General features: G+C 34.9%; 1 long non-coding RNA gene across 1 annotated transcript in view; it reads right to left on the bottom strand.

The window, feature by feature from the left end:
- Nucleotides 1-4826: 4826 nt before the first annotated feature.
- The window catches only part of LOC107986770 (uncharacterized), a 407223-nt gene continuing 387603 nt past the window's right edge, over nucleotides 4827-24446 (bottom strand). Inside the window, exon 3 of the long non-coding RNA XR_001745097.2 lies at nucleotides 4827-4969. This is a non-coding gene — a long non-coding RNA (uncharacterized LOC107986770). The remainder of the gene's footprint in view (nucleotides 4970-24446) is intronic.

The following is a 24446-nucleotide window of genomic DNA, read 5'->3' as shown; positions in this document are numbered from 1 at the left end:
ATATATATATATATATGTCTTTAACATTGTTCATTAAGTGCATATCATAAGCATTTAATGAACAAGAGGTGTTATATAGCTTATTTTTAATATTTAGATATATAATTAAAGGCTATTAAATATGAAAAATGTTATAAATATAAACACAAGCTATAAAATGATAAGTATAGTATGGATGCAAATGTTTGCATTTAATAATGTGTACATATGCTTTATTTCAGAAGGTATACTATTCAAATATGTTTCAAAAGGATGGGAAAATATTTTAAAAATGGTAGTAGAATAAATAATTGAAGTTTTTTTTCTTAAACACTTCTTTACTTTCTACTCTTGACAATGAGCATGTATTATATAATGAAAAAGTAGAAATCTTCAAGAAAAAGATAGTTTTTTGATGTATGTATTCCAACTTTCTTTGGTACATTTTTTTACAGAGGAGGACTTGATTTGAATACAAAAACAAAAATTCTAGTATTAATAACTGCTTGAAAATAAACAAAACATTTTTTGTAAAATTCTTAAGATGTGAATTTAAAAATTCTCTAAATCATAGAAACTTTATGACAAAAGCTACTTGATATTTTATACTTGTACAGGTTTGGCCTTAGCTAAAGTTATAAATAATTGTTTGTCACATACTTAACACAAAGCAAACTTGTTATAAAGATTTACTATTTTATTTTACAAGTTCTTGTTAAATTCACCCTTTCTAATCCAGTCTGCAGTATTGGAGAAAGCAATGGCATAAGATGAATGAGAAAGCATAATCACGTGTTCACTGATGGCTCACGAACCGGGCAGATGACTTAGTGTAGTTGGATTTGCCTTTATCAAGAGTGAAGCTAGAAGGTTTGATAAAATAATTGCATAAATCTTCAAGGATAATATTTTTCTTCTCATTCAAGTTAACATGTAATCCGAAAAGGACCATCTACAGTGTGCATTCTAATTTCCAAGAAGTAGAAAAAGGTGTCTGAGACAAGGTTTTCAGAGTAACTTCAATGTTTTTATGTTACTGGTAGAGGAACATTTTTCAGTGACAAACTGTTATAATTTATCAAATTATTGAATTTTCTAACTGGAAACAATTTAGTATGAAATCCAAATGTCTCACTTTGCAGATGAGGAAATGGAGACCCAGGGTGATAAAGTGACTCACCCAAGGATGCACAGCTAATGGCAGGATGCTGCAGGGGCCTGGGGCTACCCAGAAGCTAAGGCCTGGTTTTTTTTTGTTAGTTTGTTTTTCATTTTCTTTCCCAAGTACCTCACACATTTTTCTAATTAAATCTTTATTTTTATACTCCAGGTGTCTTCTAACAAAAGGTATAGCTAACAAAGGTATTTAAACTGTCTACTTAAGAGTTTTTGCAAATGCAAACTTAAAACAAATAGCCATGCAACAATTTGGAGATGAGTTTATCTTTCACTTGAACATGCAGCTGCACAGCTGAACTCTGAACTTCTATAAGTGGATTTTGCACACGTAGATCCTCGGTTCAAATGCAACCAGCTTACTCTTCAAGTATCACTCATTTGAGCTTTTTAGCAAAGATCTTTTTAAAAACTTTATTAGTATTCACCACCTGCCTAGTAATACTTTTGGATTCTGGTTGCCTGTTATTTAACTTAGATCAATGGATTTTTTAAGGAAAATTGTATATCAATAATTATATAATATTTAGATGTTTAATTCTAATAAGCATACATTATAGATTTGAGGACAGTTTAAGTGTTACTGGCACAAAAGAATGTATAAATCTTATTACTAATACTTCAGTCATATATTTAGTAACTATAATATAAAAATATAACTAGATATAGTTAATAATGTTTAAAAAACAATGCTTTTAAAAAGCGGCCAGTGGAACTTTTTTACATTGTGTGTATTTAAATATAAATAATTTTATTATATAGTAATGCATTTTCTGTGCAGAATATTTAGAAAAGATAGATTAAACAAAAATGAAGAAAATTCCCTGTAATTGCACTGCCCAGTGAATTAATAGTAATATATAGCTTACTTAAAAAAGATACTGCTGCTCAAAAGTCTTGAAATAATTAGAGTGATTATGTATATGCATATACTTATAATTTATCTCCCATATATGATTTCATCATGGTAGATAAATTAGAACTATTTCACTAATAAGAATAGTAATATATTTTCCTCATTAAAAATATCTTTTTAAATTATTGCTATTGCTATTTTAAATCTTAGACATAATATTTTGTGATTTAATAAGTTTTTGGCATTTCTGTATTTTCTAGGTAATAAAGATGATTACTATTTCTGATGCTCTATTTTCTAGCCACTTAGTCCAAGTGATATTTTGTAACTTCAAGCTAAATGAGGGTCAACTCTTTAAACATCAAATGTGATATTAAACTATAGAAGGCAATATGTTCTAATGTGTTTGTCAATATATTCCCTATCTTATTTTTAGTGTAAGCTTTTTTCCTCAGATAAAGCCACCCCACACAAATATATATCCTTTAATGGAAGTATCTGTCAGATGCATTAGAGCCATTCTTGTAAATATTTATCAAAGCTACATTTAAAGTATGGTACTTTCTTAAACCACTACTCATAACCATTTGAAACTGATATGGTATATTGAGTAAATAGAGAGTTCAATCTATTTTAAATGGTATGTTAGTTGCCTAACAAACTGTAAAAGCACTTTTAGAGTAGTAAGAACCTTGAGTGTATTGTGAAAAATGACATAAAATCTTCAACAGTCTTTTTTTTTTTTTTTTTTGACATGGAATCTCGCTCTGTCGCCCAGGCTGAAGTGCAGTGGCGTGATCTCGGCTCACTACAACCTCCGCCTCCTGGGTTCAAGCCATTCTCCCGCCTCAGCCTCCTGAGTAGCTGGGATTACAGGCACCCGCCAATATGCCCGGCTAAGTTCTGTATCTTTGTAGAGATGAGGTTTCACTATGCTGGCCAGGGTGGTCTTGAACTCCTGACCTCAGGTGATCCGCCTGCCTCGGCCTTCCAAAGTGCTGGGATTACAGGTGTGAGCCACCACACCTGGCCCAACAGTCTTTTTTCTAAACTTGAAATATTTTACTTATAACTTAGATGGTTTATCAATGATAATATTAAAAATCATTCAAAACTATAAAAGTAATTTGAAATAATCTCCCAGAGTGACATTTTAATGTTGGTTGGATAAATACTGTGCTTCTTCATATGGTCTTTCAAATTTAATTCTTGCTACAGAGAAAAGAATAAGATGTTAGTTAATTTAATAAGAACATTACATGCCATGTTAAAAAATGAATTAAAAGAACAGTAAAACTTCAACATTCTTCATTTTTCAAATATTCTTATTCTATTGAAAATTAAGGTTTGTTCAAATTGTATCAAATTATTTATGAGAAGTCTCCTGTTAGATGTTGTTTATTTTTATGAGAACGCATATTATCTACTATCTATATTTTGCTATCTAATTCAACAGTTAATCTATTGCTTTTTAAGTACTTACAGTCCATCTGTAATGCCATAGCTGATTTTTATATTCTTAACAAGAAATCCTACTTCTGCAAATAAATTAACATGCTATTTACTTAACTATTTCTTTTCCTCTAATTTTATACTTGCTCTATTTTCTTATTTATTCATTATTCATCTATCACTCTTCATTCAGTAAATAATTATTAGGATATTATTGCATGCAGAAATGTATGGGAAACAAGAATAAATATTCAAGGTCCTCTCCCTCAATGAATTTACATTTTAATAGTAAAGATATGATATGTAGTTGACATACACATCTTATTACTGAAGTAATAAATGTGAGTGTGTTATAAAAATTTTTGTACTTTAAGATTTTTAAGCCTGCTAACTCATATTACTTTTTTTCAACCTACCACCGAGAACACTTAGAAAACTTAAAATACTAATCGGCACAGCGTGTTTTATTCTTTTCTAAGCAGGAATACCAGCATAGGAGCGTGTTTTATTCTTTTCTAAGCAGGAATACCAGCATAGGTTCTTTCAATCTCTCCATTGTTGTGCAGATCTTGACAGAAACCCACCACACTTTTGGGGCCAGGAATGCTATCTAAGAAGTACAAAAGGGCTGGATATACACTAGCATCATAACTCAAAAATTATGTTAAAGCATTATTTCGCAAAGAATGGTATGCCTATCATTGGTGATGTGGGATATATCTAGATCATGGAACTAAAATATATAGCCCATGGGCCACATCTAGCCTGTTTTTATAAATAAAGTTTTACTGGAACACAACCATGCCCATCCATTTATTTGTCTATGGCTGTTGTACTAGAACAGCAGAGTTGAGTAGCTGTGACATAAACTACTCTGGGTCTAAAAAAACCCTAAATCATTTGTTGCCAGGCTCTTTACAGGAAAAGTTTGTTGATCCCTGGCTTAAGTAACACATATTTATGACTATATATTAATTTTATTGTTTAATGGAATCTCTGTGTGTGTGTGTGTGTGTGTGTATCTCACACATACATATGTAATACCAAACTGTGATTTCAATTTATTATTGTTTGGGATAAGGCTAAATATATTTAAGAATAAATATGAGTTGAAAACATACATAAATAATGATACATTTCATACACAGATGTAACAACTATGAAATAAGATTAGATCGAGACACTCATCTTAGGAATAAACTTTCTGTAGCGTAAAATCCCTTGATTCTACATTAGTTAAAAACTTGTCAGCAGACAACAGGAAAACCACAGAATTATAATTTGAAGACCAAAATTTCCTCTTGAGGGGAAATCTGGAATTTAAACTATCTACACCAGATACACCTCTCCTCCTTCTTCCCTCCTCCCTCCTTCATTCCCACACAAGTGACTAGACACAAGAATGTACATACAGATGGTTTCTGACTTGTGATAGTCTGACTTACAATTTTTTGACTTTATGATAAGTTTGGATGTGACCCATCATGGAGCATCTGTGTGTAAATACTGAAGAATACACATAGATATAGAAAAAAAGAAGAAAGGAAGAAAGGGGGGAAGGAGGGAAGGAAGGAAGGAAGGAAAGGAAGGGAGGGAGGGAGGAGGGGAGGAACGGAGGGAGGGGAGGAAAAAAGAAAGAAATTTGTCAGTAATATATAAATATTATTTTGTGTAGGAAAATGTTTTTTTCTGAACACACATAGTTTCAGCATTATATATTTTTATAAATATCCTAGGCTATACTCTCAACCCGATTCTGTAGGCAATATAACATTTTAAAGGTATTACCTGATCTACTCAGAATTTCCAAGCTAAGGTATATTTATATCAATAAAGAATGGGAGGTAAAATATATGCAAGTTTTTATTAAAACCTAAGTCTATATTAAGCAATTCAAGATTGAGTTAAGCTTAAATCTCAATTTTAATTATTCATAAACACTCATAAATGCTCCAGAGCAAAGGAGAGAAAAATCCCTACCTCGGGTCCAGTTAACTTGACCTTTGATCACTATCTATGGTAGGAGTCACTGTTCTTTAGTATAACTAGAAGTGAGGAAAAGGACTTTGCCTGCCTGCTTCAGTATTCCTAGCACCTAAGACAGTATTGACACGTGGTGGCACTCAGAACATTTGCTAAGTGGTTGCATTAGGATGTTTCCATTTTTCTTGCCTTCTTTTTCTTTTCAACAGATTATTTAACTAGAAAGAAAACCAGTTTCTTCTAGACCTGAAAGTTTATTATGAGCAAATTAGTTAATGGCTTTTCAAAGATACTTTAGAAACACAGGGTGATAGTTCATCAAATATAAATACTTAAGCTTTTTGAAAATAAGAATTATAGACATGGATGCGAAAAAGGAAAAGTCAAAAATGTTTGACCTGCAAAACTATGTAATTTGAGGTTTGGCTGATACGGTAACATTATTCGATTTCTTCCCAACTGATTCGGCCCTCTCTGCTCTTCCAGGTTGCTGGAGTAAATGCATCCTTGACCCAAAATGAAATGTTTCATCTACTTATTTAAAGGCTCTTTAAAAAATGACTTTGCTTTTAGCACTCAGTGTTCCCCTCTGAAATACTCTGCTGATTCACAAAGCTGTCTGAGAAATTCATGATGTCGCTGCAATATCAGCCTGAATGAGGATAAAGTATCCATTTGGAGATCAGAAAATTTACTTTATTGGCTAAAGGGGTACTCCCCTTTGGTATAAAGAAAGGCATTAGAAAATCTATTAAGGCTGAGTTATGTTCTGCAGTCACCATCTTTTCTTGTTACAATTAGTATTTCATTTTAATTGCGCTGCTATATAATTTCTTACGAAAAGATACTCAGTGTGAACTCTGAACAAGACTCTTTTTTTTTTTTTTTTTTTTTTTTTTACCACAATAGACCATTTTTCCATGGACACTTTTCTACTCTTCCTTAGGTTATGAAGTGAGGTACAGGGATTTTTTTTTTTTTTTACTTTATGTGTTATAAAGGGCATATTTTAATTGTTTCTGCTCATATCCACCTCTTTGGTCGTTTTTCTTGTTGCTACACCAGGAAAATGACATATGCATCCTTTTCAATCAAGCTGCGTTTCGTGATGCCTAGCAAATTAGATTTGCGTTGTCTGTCATTTATGTGGCGGTTTCATCTAAGTGGTCAGAGGAAGCATGTTCTTAGCTTCTTTTTATAAAATGAAGATAGTTTCTCCCTTTTGAGAAAAATAATAGCTTTTATTCTTCTTAAGGACATATTCTGTTTTTCACCTTTCTTTGCCTAACACACATTTCTAAGAACTCTTCTACATAACCTCTCTCATTTTCTCACAATATATTCATTTATTGATAGAGCAATTACTGAGCACCTACTATGTGAAAGGGCTGCTTCTCTGTTGTTTTGGCTATGTTAGTTAAAATATGAACAAACATTCTCGGCCTTAACAAGCTCAGAATATTTGATAAAGACAGACAAGTCAGCAACTAACTTCTGCTCAAGGAGTTTTGGGAATGATTTCTTCCCCCTGTCACAGAAGCCCTGGAAATTAGAAGTGAGCCTTGAGAGACAAGACATTGCAAGCCGAGGCGACAGTTTTAGCAGAAGCATCATGTCCTAAAAATGAAAGCATGGGACATTAAGCCCTGACCCTCAATGTGACTGTATTTGAAGATGCTTTAGGGAAGAAAGTAAGGCAAAGTGAGGTAATAAAAGGAGGCCCCAGTCTGATAGGACCAATGTCCTTATAAGAAGAGGAAGAGACAGCACAGATCTTTTTCTCATATATGGTCAAAGGAAAGGCCATGTGAGGATACAGCAAGAAGGTGGTCATCTACAAGCCAGGAAGAGAGGCATCATCAGAAACCAAACCTGATGGCACCTTGATCTTGGACTTCCAGCCTCCGGAAGTGTGAGAAAATTCATTTCTGCTGTTGAAGCCACCCAGCCTGTGGTATTCCATTATGATAGTCAGAGCAAACTAACAGGTTTGGAGTAAAATCCTCTCGTCATCAAGTTCCATATGTCCTCTTTATTCTCTCTTAGGGATCTGGCCGTCTAAGTTTGAGGTCTGAGAAATTAGGAAGCTTCTATTAGAATATAATTCCACTCAACTTCTCACAGTAGGGGTGATGAAAGTGAGGAGGAATTTAAAGAGATATTTGTGCAGACAGAAAGAACTGGATTTGGCATGTGATTGGCTTGAGAGATAAAGGAGAGAGACTTGGTAAAGACAACACCTCTTATTTCATCTGTAGTTCTTAATCTTCATAATTATTTGCTGAAAACATCCTCTTTAATATAATGAAGCACCTGTGTATCTGTCAGTGAGGTATGTGGTTTTTCTATCATGGACCTAGCATCGATTAGGCTTGGTGTTTCTGGCTTCTGTGACTGCACTGTCCTATTTCTCTTTCAAATCTTGGGCATTGCCTCCCCCCACCCCCACCTTTTTTTTAATCTGATTCCTTTTATTTTAGCTTAAGTATTTTTATTGCCTTAATAATATTTAATATTGGTTTCATTTCAATGGATGATAGCTAACTGTAAACAAAGTAGAATTGGTCATTAACAGAGAAAATAGATACAAATCTTACAAATTTTTGTTTAACAAAAAACATCTGTAATATCTTGTGATTGTCTATGATGTCCTCTGGAGTATACTGGTCTTTTGTCTTTGCTCCCTAGTCAAATGATTAAGCGTTCTTGGCTCACTACTCTGTGTTAGCTGTTCTGCGTATTTTGTTTATTTTATTTTTTTTAAATTTTAGATTCAGAGGGTATGTGTCATTTTTTGTTACATGGATATTACATGAGAAATGGTGGGGGATGGACTTCTAGTCTACCCATCACCCAAATATTGAATATTGCGCCCAGTAGGTAATTTTTCAACCATCACATCCCTCCCTCCCTCCCTGGAGTCCCCAGATTCTGTTTTCCCCAAGTTTATGTCTATATGTATCCTTTGTTTAGCTTCCACTTGTAAGTGAGAACATGCAATATTTGATTTTGTGCTTCTGTGTTAGTTCACTTAGGACAATGACCTCCAGCTCCATTTATGTTGCTGCAAAGGACATAATTTCATCCTTTTTATGGCTGCATACTATTCCATAAAGTATATATACAAAATTTTCTTTATCCAATCAGCTATTGGTGGACACCAAAAAACATGTTGTTTTTTGACTTTTTAGTAAAAGCCACCCTGAATGTTCTAAGATGGTATCTCATTGTGGTTTTAATTTGCATTTCTCTGATAATTAGTGATGTCGAGAATTTTTTCTTGTGTTTTTTGGCTGCTTGTATTTCTTCTTTTTAGAAATACCTGTTCATGTCCTTTGCCCAGGTTTTAATGGGGTTGTTTGCTTTTCTTGTTGAGTTTTTTCAGTTCCTTATAGATTGTCAAAATTAATCCTTTGTCAGAGGCATAATTTGTAAATCTTTACTCCCAGTCTGCCTTGTTCCTGTTCTTAGAGGACATGCTTTCCATTTTTCCCCATTCAATGTGATGTTAGTTGTGGGTTTGCCAGAGATGGCTCTCATTATTCTGAGGTATATTCTCTCTATGCCTAGCTTGTTGAGGGTTTTTATCATGAAGTGATGTTGGATTTTATCAAATACTTTTTCTGCATCTATTGAGATGATAATATGGTTTTCGTTCTTAGTTCTGTTTATGCAGTGGATTACATTTATTGATTTGCATATGTCAAACCATCCTTGCATCCCTGGAATAAAGCCCACTTCATCATGGCAAATTATCTTTTTGATGTGCTAGGAAAGGTCATTTGCTTCTAAGATTTTTATTAAAATTCTTTTTTTAAACTGCAATATATAAATCTATAGTCCTGTATACTTAAGTTACACTTACACAAATGCCCTCTAGATTTTTTTAGTTAAATGTCTTTCCAGCAATATAATTCATTGCATAACTTTCTATAGTTGACAAAGTATCTTCATATATACACTGTGCAGTTTTTCCACCCAATACTATAAGGTTGGTGGTATTAATTCCATTTTACTTGTAGGATGCTGACCCTCAAAGAGGTCAATTTTTCAAGCCATAAAATTAGGTATGGAAGCAAGAAATACTCAGATATCAACCAGAGAGCTATTTAAACTTGTTCAGAACTTCTCCAAGCAGTCCAAAACTGGTCAAGACACTTCTAAAATGGAATTTGGAGTGTTGTCAATGTTACCTGCCAATGGTCTCCTTTTCTCAAATTCCTCAATTAACAAGGCTATTATTTTCCTAATCGGCCTGTCATCAAGTCCAATATCTGGAAATTAATCAGTAGTTGTTGAGAGTGTGGTGAAATGAATAAGTAAATGGTTTTCTTAAAGTTGATTCTCTCATTTAATGCCTATATAAAATCACATACAAAGTCATTAATCAATATGATACTTCATTCCCACTGCCGCCAGCCAAGATACTAGAAAGAACAAACAAGGGAACTGGCATAAAGAAAGATGGACTTTTGTATCCCTGTTTAGTAAGGAATATCCTATATATTTTTAAATCCAGTGGCAAATTGTTACAAGTATTTAAATTTATCACCTAGAAAATGTAATAAAAATAAAATCTTAATTTTTGATCCTATGCTGTTTTCTATTTACAAGCACATTAATTACCACAGAAAGAGCAATATTAGTAATGTGGTTTCTCATATTTGTATTGGTCTTTCTACCAATTAAACTTAAGTTTTTAAAAAAGACACAATAATAATATAAACTAATATGTGTGTTTTTTTTAAAGATTTAGAAAGTAATACTGGTGACTAGTGACAATGATATAAGGAAGACTAAACATTTCTTAATCACAATAAATGTTTACTCTGGTCTGGAGACCATTTCTTATTTGATCATCCTCGGAAAATATAAAATGTCAGGGCCATTATTTTTTATTAACTGGATCTGGCATGGACATAAATAGTAAATTGAACTATCTTTTTTGTGGTGGGAATGGAGAGAAACAGGTTGAAAAAATATTCAGACAAAATATATTACATATAGATACTTATAGATGGGTGAAATTGATTTTAATAGATTTTTATTTCATAAATAAAAATCTCAGGTAATTTTGGTAAAACACAAATAACCTGTCTTGTCACAAAAGGAATAGTTTGTATGTCTGGCTCATCACAATTTTAATTGTAAATCTCAGGAAATGCAGAATATGACAATTAAGTTAGGAAGTGCTCAATGGATTGCAGAGTAGTAAATTTTATTAAATTTCTTCATAAAATAACATTGACAAATAATCTAATACAGAACTGTTTGTGCATTACTGGGTATTGCTGAAGGAAAAAATAGGCAGTTCCAAATTCACTCAGAAGATGAGTTCTACTAGTTTGTTCTCAGTCATTTACATGCTATTCTGTGACATAATTTTTTAAACTATTTGGTTCTTTCCACAAAAAAAGCAGAGCTTTATAAGAAGCAACATATTTAACAGCAGAAAGCTAGTATTTCAGTACACTGTAGGATGTCAAATATAAATCCGTTTATAGAGAACATTAGCTTAATATTTTAATATACATTATAAAATGTATTTGAATGGAAGAATACTCATAGAAAGAATATAGGAATAATTTCATATAAAATGGAAACTAGAAGATTTTGAAAAAGAGAAGGCTTTTGGGATTTATTTCCTTTTTCTTTAGCTGGCATGATTTTTGGTGGTGTTAAAAGTCTCAAACAATGTCTTCTTTGTATGATGTGCTGAAAGAGCATTATGTATGGGATGTGTACATGTCTTTTTATATGTCAACAGTGTCCCCAGGAAAGCAACATCCAACCTCAGCTCCACTAAAAACCAGAGTCACACTGTACTGTATATTAGATTTAATAATTCAGGCTCAATAATATAGTGTCTTATGCCAAATATTGTCCACTAATATCCAAAAAGTAACCTAAACCACAAACCAGTCTGAGCTCTCGCTTTTCACAATTACTTCCTGTCACTATCATTAGATATCCACAACATAGGAAAAATCACTTTGACATAGTTACTCTAATATTAAGACAGCCATAATGCACTGGTTTTACACAAGACTCACCCAAGTTATACTATGGAGTAGCTATCACAGGTTTTAGAATGCTGTGGTGCATACTTGCTGCACAAGCCTAAGAGATGGAGAGAGTAAATGTGAATCCCCAAATTGTATATCTTCCATTCACATCAGACCCACGACTTTCCTTATCATTTAACTGGACATGGATATGATAATATGTTTATATTTGCTCCCAGAAAGTATATAAACTGTGATTCTAAAAGTTGGATCACTACCCCAATGGCACCAAACTAAAAACACATTTAAATTGTTATTTTTTCTTAAATTCAACTTAAAAGTATAAATGTACGTGTGGCATGACTGTTGAAAGTAATGTTGCCTCTTCAGGATTTCTACAGTAGTCCCTGATTGTAATATTTATTCATTTGGGACACTTATTTACCAAAATTATTCTTTACAGTTTTATGTTTTCATGTGTCACTGTCTTGATTAGATAATAAGCATGAAGCTGGTTAACAAGCTTAACCATAGCCTTACTTGATTGAAATCCTTCTTTGAGCTTGTCACACAGGTTATGCACATTGTAGGTCTCAATAAGAGGTTAATTTCTCCAATTTTTTTAGAATAAAAAAGTTGAAAATGACTCATCAGCTTTCCCTTCTTTCTTGCTAAAAAATCACAAAAATAAATGTGCAAACAGTATTCCACAGGTGAAAAAAATTCGAGTAACAAGTAAGACAAACAGAATTGCATTATCAGAAAAGAACAGAGAAGACTGAAAAAGTACAGTTTAATGCATATGAGTAAAGTGTATGTTTCAAAACATTTGTATTATTGGTTACATTTTTTACCTCTTACTTTTTATTTTTGACCTTTCATAGGTGTAGCCAAAATGAACTTTGATGAATAGGAAAAAAAGTCAGAACAAGATTTTTATTTATTTTTGTAGTCTTTATAGATTTTAATATCTTACAATGCGCAGGATTTCATATAGATACTCTAACCTATATTTTTATTCTTTGCAATTCCTCCTTGGTTAATAGCCATAAGGATCATTTATGTACTTATGCAGTGTTTTTACTGTTTCTATATACCACCCAACCTTGCTGGTTTTCCCCTATCCCTATGAATTTTCCCCTATCCATTTGGATTTTCCCCATTACCTCAAAATTTTCAATGCTTTATCTTGCAGAATCGTTCGGTTTTGTCATAATTTCTAAATAACTGAATCCAGGTGGAATAGAGATCTTTAGGTAACATAAATCATCCTCTGTAGAAGCAGTTTCTATTGGTTTATTAGTTTTCTTTTGTTGTCTCACTTTCACCTGAGTTAAATATGTATCTTGTAAACATATTTGTTGTTAGCACAGTGGTTTCCCATGACAAATCCCTATAGTATCAATACATTCCTTTCCATGTCCACTGCACATAATTTAGCATTTCCAAAATGGATATAAAATGAAATCATTTTAGAATACATTTCAGTCACCCAGACAAAATTGATTTAAACTAATATCTCTGACTATATAAAATACATTTACTATTATTCCAACATGCATTAAAAGCTTAGAACTATGTGATAAGGAAGATGAAGAGAAAGAGAATGAGGAACAGGTTGGGAGGAGGAGATGAGGGCATGGGGAGGACAAGAGGAAGAAGAAAAAGAAGTCAAAAGAAAAAGACAGTTATATGTGTGTGTCTTCGGTTCATAACAAGGTTAGTTTCAAAATGGTATTTAAATCCATTGTTTAAAATGTGGACACCTTTCTCCATAAAAGTAAGAGAAAAGTATGGGCAGAAGGTATCAAACTTATTCAGATTAGGGTAAGGCCTCGTTTGATAGTGAAAGAATCAGATTTGTAGGAGCGGGGGCTGTGACATCAGTTCTTTCATGACCCCTGAGGAGAGGAAGGGATGCAGGGAGGCAGAAGGTAGAAGTTTTGGTTGGGTTGGGGGCACAAACTCTGCTGAGGGGTGGGAGTGGTGAAGGAAAGACAGCACATTTGGGGCATGCAGAGTGGTCTTTAGTAATGAGTCTAATAAGACAATGCATCAGAATAAAACAGATCATTGTTGTGTCAAGTACGGGATTTGTAAATTGGAAATTAGTTAGTTTCTGTTCACTACCAGGGAAGTGGTATTTTTGTAACCTAAAAACTAAGGACTTCTGATTCAGACAGACTTGTGTTTTGGTTTAAGCATTGTTGTTTATCAAATATGTATTCATAAGTAAGTCAAACTCTCCAAGCTTCAGTTGCCTGATCAGCAAATTAGAGGAAATATAAAATTTACCAGTTCATTGTTACAGCTTAGTCATGTTCTTACCATCCCTGATATCTGTCTAATATTTATTAGGTATTCTTTCTATTATTATATCTCTAAAACATATTGTTTTTGAAAAATTTGTATATACTTTATGTACTTTGAATAAAATTTAGTTCTCTAGTTCCTCAAAATAGGTAACAGTTTTAACATGAAAAAAAATCACTAAACCTCTTTCTATTCTCTGTATTTATTGGTGACAAATTTTTTAAATTCTTTTTTGCTTGGAGAATAGATTCTATTAAAAATAATTCCATTTGCCTCTCTTAGGGGGTAAGAGGCCATTTATACTTCAGGGTATGATCTTTCAAGACAAAGGTTCATTAATTTTCGTTGCAAGGGGAGAGAAAAAAGGCCCAAATGTAGCCCTTCGAACCCATCAGATCATTTTCTTGATGGCCAATTCTTAACCACTCTCAACCCAGTTTCCCTAACTCTAAAAGGGTATTTTACCATCCTTTTAGGCAGGATATAAAGATTAATTAGTTAAGATTGCAAAGTGCTTTAAGTATGAAATGTTGTATGAGATAATAGGATAAATATTAATAATATCCTGCTAGAAGTACAGAGACAGCCATAGTTAGGTAACTAAGAAAAATAAATTGCAGTGCTTGGTATGAAATTGAAAATCACTAATGGAATGAAAGTTTGTTCATACTGGGAGCAGTGTTGCATCATGTATAATGTAATACCAGGTCATTTTCAATTGTTTTAATTGCCATGAGCAACTGATCTTTAGAGCTGTTCCTGACAAGCTTTAGCATGGCCCTAATGATCGTAAAACGGTGCCAAAGACCAGCATTATCCCCTATTGAACATTAAATGGTATCGACCCTCTTCTCTGGGTCCATCACTCAACAGACTCCTTAAAGTAATTCATGACACAATTAACATTAATTAACTTTACGAAAACCCCTCAAACTCTCTGCTGTTTTAAGACTTCAGACATTGGAGAAAGTAAAGAGCAACTAACAAAAAAGTTGTGAATCCTCTTGTGAGAGCCATCAATTAGGATAAGTAAAAGATTCCTAAATTTTTATAACCCTCATTTATCACTTGCCACTCCTGATGAGTTTATCCTGTGCAAAGATATCTTTAAAGCCATTCAGTTCAAAAAGAACCATTCATCTCTGTACTTCACATCCACTTTAAAACTGAGAGTGCAAGCTTCCAAATTCATGTCAGAGTAAACCAAGCAACACAAGTGATTACTGGGCTCTACAGAAATGCTACCCAAGTATGTCTCATGTATGCAAGGAAAGACTTTAGCCTTGCCCTTTTCATCTCTATTTCTACAGAACTCTCCTACGGGGATTGCGTATTAGTTAGGGTTCTCTAGAGAAACAGAACTAATAGGATAGATGCATATATGAAAGGGAGTTTATTAAGGACAAGTGACTCACAGGATCACAAGGGGAAGTCCCACAATAGGCCCTCTGCAAGCTGAGGAGCAAGGAAGCCAGTTCGATTCCCAAAACCTCAAAAGTAGGGAAACTGACAGGACAGCCTTCAGTCTGTGGCCAAAGGCCTAAGAGCCCCTGGCAAACCACTGGTGTAGTCCAGGAGCCCAAAAGCTGAAATACTTGGAGTCCAATGTTCGATGGCAGGAAGCATCTAACACGGGAGAAAGACAGAGGCTGGAAGACTCAGCCAGTCTAGTCCTTCCATGTTTGCTTGCTTTATGCTAGCCACACTGGCAGCTGATTAGATGGTGCCCATCAAGATTGAGGGTGGGTCTGCCTCTCCTAGTCCACTGACTCAAATGTTAACCTCCTTTGGCAACATCCTCATAGACACACCCAAGAACAATACTGTGTATCCTTCAATCCAATCAAGCTGACACTCAATATTAACCATCACAGATTGTATTCCTGCTCTACGTTCAAAGTGATCAACAAAAGCCTTCTCTAGAATATCAACCAAAACAAGAATCTACCATTCCTTAGGTGTGTGACTCTTTATACGTATGCTCCATTTAGTCTATACAAACCTATAAAATAGACATTGCCATAATTTTAGTTAAACTTGATAATGTTATAATAAAATTTGTTCTTATTCCAACCATCTAAACATAATTGCTCATTGATGAGAGAGCCAGGCCTCAAATTCAGGTCCTTTTAAACCCGAATCTATACCCTTTTTGTTTTAAAGATACGAAGGATAAGCATTTACTGTATTCAAAGCATGGGAGTAACTGCATCTGGAGCAAGATCTGAGATACATCACACAGCACTAACCTTCAAAGAGAAAATAAGCTGGTTTTCTTTGCTAGATGAGAGCCTAAGAGGGAAAAGGGTCAGAGAAAGCTGGAATATCTATTTAGAAAGTGTAAATTCACTGCCAGATCCACTAGCTAGCTCAAAACTATCCTGGAAGAGGTCTTGTTCCTCTTAGTTGGAAAGAAAGCAGCTCCTTATTTTGTATACCCCACTCATAAGCCACCAAGACCTTTAGAACAGGGGAATCTTGTTTTCATGCACTCATGGTATTCCTATGGTGCTTCACACATGTCTTTCAATTCTAGGTCATTACTTTTTTGGAATCTTCCAAGAGGATTATACAAGCACAAACTGCCTGCATTATTCTGTTGGTTCTAAAGCCCCAAAGGTATCAAATCCATGTCATTTTCATTTCTCAAGAATATTCAGTATTAAAAAATATATATACTTCTAGCTGCATTCGTAGAAACTACTTCTCTGTTGTAAGACTCTTGTTCTCCAAAAGTAAGTTAGCCAGATTTCTCTATAAAGTCCAAGTGTGGTATATGAACAGCTCCAAAAGGTTATTCTAGTTGTTAGAGAACCCAGTTTTTTTTTACAGTTTTTTTTAAACTTAGAAATAAAAATAGAAACTAAACTGTGCACCCAGTCCAAAATAATAATGTAGCAAACTGTAAAAATATTTCCGGGTCTGTGACTTTGTTTCAGATTTTAAAAAAGGAGCGTGGCTTACACATTGTGGGTTTTGCCCTATTACAGATTTTCTTCATATGTTATTATTTTTAATATTTCTGTTCCTAATGACAGTGTCTTGACCCACTCAAGCACTCTAGTCAATGCCTGAGAATATAACTAACATGCTTGTGCAGAGCCTGAAGATAAAAATTTTCTCTCTTACATTTAGGAATTCTAATTTTCTAAATGTTTTTAAAATCCTAGATATGAGCAAAGGGTATAGAAAACTTCTTATGAAAATTTAGCTAGGTAGACTTTAAAATCCCTGGTCTATAAGCTTACATTTTATAATACTGATGGATTGATTCTTTCATCCAACACATATTGATGAATGCTGATAATTTTTCTGGAGTTCTGTTAGGAAGTAGAGACAAATGAGGACCAAGATCCAGCCTCTTTTGAGAAACCCACAACCTATAAACAACAATTAGAATACAAAGTAATAAGGATAGAGATAGCAATGTGAATGAATATCGTGATGGCAGAGCAACACGAAGAGATTACTTTCCTTGACAGCCCAGGGTGGTCAAGGAAAGCTTTCTGTTGGAGTTGTGCCTCAATTTCAAAGGCAAATAGAAAGGCATAGGGACTTTTACAGTCCCCGGCTCCAAGAATAAGGGGATTATTAGCATACTTGAAGATTTATATTCTTTTAAGTAATTTCTTATTCAAATAGAATTGGTAACCATGACCATATCCAATAATTTAGTAGGAATTTCTACTTCTTAGGAATATTTACTTCCCTTCAAACCAAAGGATGTCTGGATGTTTAGGGGATCATGGTCTGATGCCAGTCATTATCCTTTCTTCTATCATTACTTTCCAAGTCAGCAAAATGCCAGTCATCAGTGTTACATAAAGCTTCTTCTAGGCAGAGGATGGGCACATACTCAGGGACTCTCTGTTTTTTTCACTTCATGGTGTTAAAATGGGATGAGAAACCAAGTCATACTTCCCTCCCATGCTTCAAAGTCCAAATCATAAGAGTAAGCATCATCCATCCTTTTGTATTTGAATGGTGATACAAAAGATATAAAAACATAGTGACTCACCTTAGGAAAATCATAGCCCAATGGAACAGATAGACACACAAAGAGATAATAATGCATTGCAAATCATCTCTTGGTGTAGACATTTACAAAAGGCTATGTTAATATACTTTTCTAGGTATTAGAGAGAGTTACTTTGAGGAGGTAACAGCCCACTTGGGTCTCTAAAGATGGGCTTAAGTTTTTGATGAGGGATGGGAAGAGAATTTTAGGCATACAGAGCAGTCAAATTAAAAAGCCAGAGGTGTTAAAATGTATATAGTTCCTTCAGAAAACTTGGAATATGATGTATACAGAAGGGAAGTTTATAGTGGAAAATGAAGCTGTAAAGATCATTTGGGACTAAGTTTTGAAGGCTCTTTTATGCCATCATAAAAAGGTTACATTTTATCTTGAGGGCAATGAAGAATGAACAAGTTTTAAAAAAGTGATAGTGTCAGGTTTGCCTTTTTAAACATCTCCCGGAAAGAGGATGGAGGTGGGATGGAGAGCAATGTGAAGCCGATTGCCCTGGAGCTTTGCAAATTGTCAAATTCTAAACAAGCATTAGGGGCTGCCCAACACTGACCTTGTCAACTCTGTACTGAGTGTAGAGTATCAAGGAGGACCCCCAAATCATGCTTAAATCGATGAGAAAATTGTTTGGTCATTTATTCAACTCAACAGTATTTTATTGGATTAAGTACACACAGATAACTTCTCAAAATTAGTAAATATTGTTAATATTTGTAAAAGATATTCTATTTCCTCCCTCCTCCGAACACTGACACCAAGCAGATATGCAAACATATACATGTTTGCAGTGGCAACATTGAAATTTTTTCTTCTAAGTATTTTACTCACCCATTACTTAGTGGTATCTCACTTGAACAGCTTTTCTATTCTTTATGTATCCTAGGCAGTCCTTTAACTCTGTCTAGCCCTCTGTTCATTTTCCCCAAGGTTTACAGTAAATGAACTTATTAATTTTATTTTTTTGAACAATACAATTTATTGTACATGTTACCATATGACCTAGAACTAAAAAATGTCAATGATAAAATTATTCCGTTTCTTATGAGATTTTAGAAAGTGCTGGAGAAAGTACATGTACAAGTGTCAGAATTGCCATCATCTGGCAATAACAAATTAAAAATACAGAGGGGCAAAATGTTGCATATGAGATAGTAATGAGGACTAGAAAGTTAATGGAAATTGAAACAACCATATAAAAACAATTAAAGTAACAATAAGACACCACAACACGAAGTCACAAAATAGAATATATTTTTGGGTAGGGTTACTAAGTGTTTTAAGAATGTTCCTTTTGCACATATTAATTTATAAATTCAATACAACATATATGGGTTTTTTGGGTATAACTTAACAGTTTGAGTTTAAAGTTTATATAAGTTAAAATGCATAATAGCAGCCAATATTTTGTTAAAAAGATAGATTACTGTATAATTCCTCACTAGATAAGAAAAACTTACTTTAAACGCGCAGCAATTAAGGCAATATGTTTTTGGCAAAAGAAGAAAAAGGGTATCTATTAATAACCAAAAATAGCCCAGAAACAGTCCCTTATAAGTGAAATTCAGTGTATACTAATGGTGGCTTTTCAAGTCATGGTGGATAGAAAGGGCTATTCAATTACTGCATTGAGGACATCTTGCAATTTTGTTGGCCAACATAGGATAGGCCAGGATACACTGCAGTAGAAAATTATCCCTAATATCTTAGGTACTGTAATCAACTCTGTTGGGGCCCAGCCTAGATATTCTTTCCAATAATGTGCTCTTTCCCTGATACTGTGAATGTTGGTTGCTTAACGGCTCTCAACTGCACCCTCTCAGCAGATAAGAGGCACCTTGGATGTTTCCATTAAGCACTTCAAGCTGAGTGTATATGTCAACTAACTGCATCTTTGCTCAGGTGACTTCTCTATGCTATGCTTCCTTCCCTCTCTTAGAGTTTTTACTCCAAGGCACTCACTCAATAATTCCTTCTACAAGCATCCTCACTAAAGGCTCTGATTCTCAGGAACCTGACCTAAAATGGCCTAATATAGCGAGAGGTTATTTCTCACTTATAAAATGCCAAATGTGATTTGACAGAGGCTCATTTCTATTTGGTGCCTCCGGAATTCAGGCTTCCACCAATTTGTGACAACACTATCTTAACTGACTAACGTAAGTCATAACATGACTTATAAGTCCCTGTATTGCAGAAAGAAAAACAAACAAGAGTGCATAGAGGACCTCTGCTTACTAGTCCTAAGTGACAGGACTAAATAACATGCCATTTCTTCTCATTGTCTGTTGGCCAAAACTGAATGCACAGAGACTGGGGAGTACAGCACAGGACAGAAGATATTTAAGCCCCACTGTCTTTGCCATAGCAGTCCTTTTTAAACAGTAAGTTAAAGCTTTGTGTGTGTGCACATGTGCATGCATACATGCATGTGTGTGTGTTCTACAATCCTGGTGAAGTAAAAATTATCAAGTATTAAAGTAATTACAGTCAGATGTCACTTAACAATGGGGATACAATCTGAGAAATGAGTCATTAGGCAATTCCATCATTGTGTTTACATCATAGAGTGTACTTACAGAAACCAAGATGGTAGTTTACCACACACCCAGTCTATATTGGCTACAAACCTATACAGCGTGTTACCATGCTGTATAATATACTGTAGGTAACTGTAACACTATGGTAAGCATTTGTATATCTAAACATGGGAAAGGTACAGTTAAAATAAGATAAAAAAGGTATACCTGTATAGGGCACTTACAATTAATAGAGCTTGCAGGATTGGAAGTTGCTCTGGGTGAGTCAGTGAGTGAGTGGTGAGTGAACGTGAAGGCCTAGGACATTACTGTACCCTACTGTAGACTTTATAAACACTGTACACTTAGGCTAAGCTAAATTTATCAAATTGACTTTCTTTCTTCAAAGAAATATCCCCATGCTTGCATGTGCATGCATACATGCATGTGTGTGTGTTCTAAAATCCTGGTGAACTAAAAATGATCAATTATTAAAGTAACTACAATCAGGTGTCTCTTAACAATAGGGATTCGATCTGAGAAATGCATCATTAGGCAATTCCATCATTCTGTGAACATCGTAGAGTGTACTTATGGACCTGCCTGAGGCTGTTTTACAGTTAATACATTTTTAAAAATAAGTAGATGCTGCATACTCTAAAATAATGATTACAGTTACAGTATACTAAATATTGGGTGATAGGAATTTTTCAGCTGTATCTAAATCTTAGGGAACCACTATCTGATGTGCAGTCCCTCATTGACCAGAACCATCATTATGTGGCACATGACTATACATGTAAACAAAGGAGAATATTTTCAGAATTTTGATGTCAGGACAACATTCTTAAGTAAAATATGGACTCTGAAGACTTTCAGGTAAAAAAATTTGGATTTCATGAAAATATTTATGAAAAGACAGACATGGACATCTGAATTTTATAATGTAAAATTTGTGGAGCGTGTAAATATTTTATGCAAAATATTAGAGCAAAAAGACTAATGATTCCATATAAAAATAGGCAAAGGGTCTGGCTATTTCTTGTTTGTACCAATTCATTCCTTGTCTTTCTGCTGCAAACTATGCTTCCCATGCACCCTTATATCAGGATAATATATAGGTATGTTGGCTAATCCAAGGCATTGGTAGAAGATTGCTGATGAGAAGAGATGAAGGCTTCAGATATTCCTCCTTCTTTAGTGTTTTCCATTAAAAGGTGTATCTCCACTTCTCCTGACAGGTAGCTTACATCCTGATTGAAGCTGCTGATAGATAGCCCTGGCTTCTGTATATAGTAGTCCCCCATAATGCATTGGGGATGCATTCTGAGACCCCCGGAGGATGCCTGAAACCATGGATAGTACTGAACCCTATAAACACCATGTTTTTTTTTTTTAATCTGATAACCTTCCCGGCTACTAAGTGACTAATGGGCAGGGAGCCTCTACAGTGTGGATACACTGAACAAGGGGAGTGTTCAGGTTTTGGGTGGCGTGAGATATCCTCATGCTACTCAGAACAGTGCACAATTTGAAACTTACCAATTGTTTATTTCTGGAGTTTTCCACTTAATCTTTTTGGACCATGGTTGACTGCAGGTAACTGAAACCACAGAAAGGGAAACAGCAGGAAATGGGGGACTACTGTATTGCTACCAGATACACTGATGGCCCATCAGCATAGGTAGATAAACTCAAACTCAGTAACAAGCAGAAAACTGCAAATAAAATATTTCAAATCCAGTTCAGTTGTCCCACATCCATGTTATTAATACATGTTTTAAAATGCACACTTAAATATGGCTTGCTTCATTTTCTGTATAGTGTACTGTGTTAGTCTAGGATCTCTGAGAAGCAAAGGTCATAATAAGATTAAACACATAAGGGTTATATTAGGGAAAATACTTGTGTGTGGAAAAAATGGGCAGTCTCTTGAGTAAGGCTGGGAGTGTTGTCAAACCACTATATATTTCTGACTCTGAATCACATGGGGAAGAAAGCAAGGTTAGGTGGTATACTAGTTTCCTAGGACTGTCATGACAAATTATCACAAACTGAGTGTCTTGAAACAGCAAAAATATATTCTCTCTCAGTTCTGGGGGCCTGAAGTCCAGAACAAAGGTATCAGCAGGGTCATGCTCTCTCTGAAGGCTGTAGGGAGAGCTCTTCCTAGCTTTGGGTGGTTGCTGGCAATCTTTGACAATCCTTGGTTTGTAGCTGCACCATTCTAATTTCTGTCTCCATCATCACATGATTGTCTTTCCCTTGTGTGTGTCAGTGTGTCCAAAAATCTGTCTCTCTATGAGGACATCACTAATTGCAGTTATGGTACACTATAATGAGCATGACCTCATTTTAACCTGATGCATCAGCATAGAATCTATTTCCAAATAAGGTCACATTAACAGGTATCCAGGGATAGAAACTCAACATATCTTTTGGGGGGATGCAGTCCAAACAAAGAGAAGTGGCAAGGTAATCACTGAGTAATTCTTGAGCCAAATCCAGCAGCTGAGATCCTGGTTCTCCCAAGCACAGATGTCCATGAGTGTCCCTATTGCATTCAATCACTGGCCAGTGAGCAGCCTGTGGGAAGTCTGGCCTCTGTGCTAACCTGGTGATGAATTTCAGAGCATGGCAGCTGGATCCTTGGTAAATTATGTTCTCTGTAATTGGCTATCTGCAGCATACATTCTCATGGCCACCATATGTACCTTTCTGCAGCATTGTGTATTTTTAAACATGTACAACATATTATTGTCAAATAATATCAGAAACTTTATTTTCAAGAAGTTTCTTTTAAGGTATCTGCAAAGTTAATTGGTACATCAATTGGCAGGTGCAAGTTAATTTTATGGGTACTTAATTACTAATTTCCTATGCAAATCAATATTTGAACTTTTAATTCTCAATTGAGCATGCATCAAAAGGGTATTTTAACTGCTCAAAGTAACTGCAAAATTTCTAAGTGTATTTGCATGCGTCTGTATAAGCTCCCTCTGGTACTGTCACTGTGGTCTCTGGTCTCTGGCTTAGAAGCCTAACATTGGTAACACCGTTTGATAGGTAAATATGTTAAAATCAGAGGTTCTCTTTTTTTCTGAAAATATGATCTTTTTTGACAGGCTCCAAAATATGTTTATTTCTTTAAAAATTATAAAAACATAAATTGGGCCGGGCGCAGTGGTTCACACCTGTAATTCCAGCACTTTGGGAGGCCAAGGTAGGTGGATCACGAGCTCAGGAGTTCAAGACCAGCCTGGCCAACATAGCGAAACCCCGTCTCTACTAAAAATACAAAAATTAGCCAAGTGTGGTGGCACGCGCCTGTAGTCCCAGCTACTCGGGAGGCTGAGGCAGGAGAATTGCTTGAACCCAGGAGGTGGAGGTTGCAGTGAGCCGAGACTGTGCCATTGCACTCCAGACTGGGTGACAGAGCCAGACGCCATCTCAAAAACAAAAACAAAAACAAAAACAAAACAAACAAACAAAAACATACATTGTATAAAAATTCTAAAGCTGATAAATAGAAGGTGAACATTAAATCACATATAAAATTATTCCCCACCCACATACATACATATACATATGTATACATAATATATATGATATATAACTATCTCTATCTACCTATCATCTATATACTGCTGTGTTGTATCTATCTTTACAGAAAGCATGCATATATGTGTAAATTTATATGTATTCCTTCATCTCTATATAATTGGAGGCCATAATACATTCTGTTTTGGCTCTGTGGTAGTTACAATCCTAGGATAACCCTCAAGATTTTTGCCACTGGTACCTTCGCCTCTCAGATATTCAGTAAAATACTCATTTAGTTACTGCTGTGAAGGGGTTTTATAGATGTAAGTAAGGTCCCAAATCAGTTGATCTTAAGGTAGGGAATTTGTCCTAATCATATCCCTTTAAATCTGAATCTAGAAGTCAGAGATGGGAGAAGTCAGAGATTCAAAACATGGCTGGAAGATTGAAGGGCTCCTTCCAGGAGCTGAGAGTGTCCCCAGCAAAACAGGGGGACTCAGTGCTGCAGTCACAAAAAATGAGTTCTGCTACTAACAAGAATGAGTTTGGAAATATACTAAGTAGTTCCTTAGAGCCTCCAGCCAACACTCTGA

Source organism: Homo sapiens, chromosome 7 (genome assembly GCF_000001405.40).
Source record: "Homo sapiens chromosome 7, GRCh38.p14 Primary Assembly".
NCBI classification, from domain to species: Eukaryota; Metazoa; Chordata; class Mammalia; order Primates; family Hominidae; genus Homo; species Homo sapiens.
Note: the sequence above shows the minus strand (reverse complement) of the source record. Positions and strands in the feature narration are given on the sequence as shown.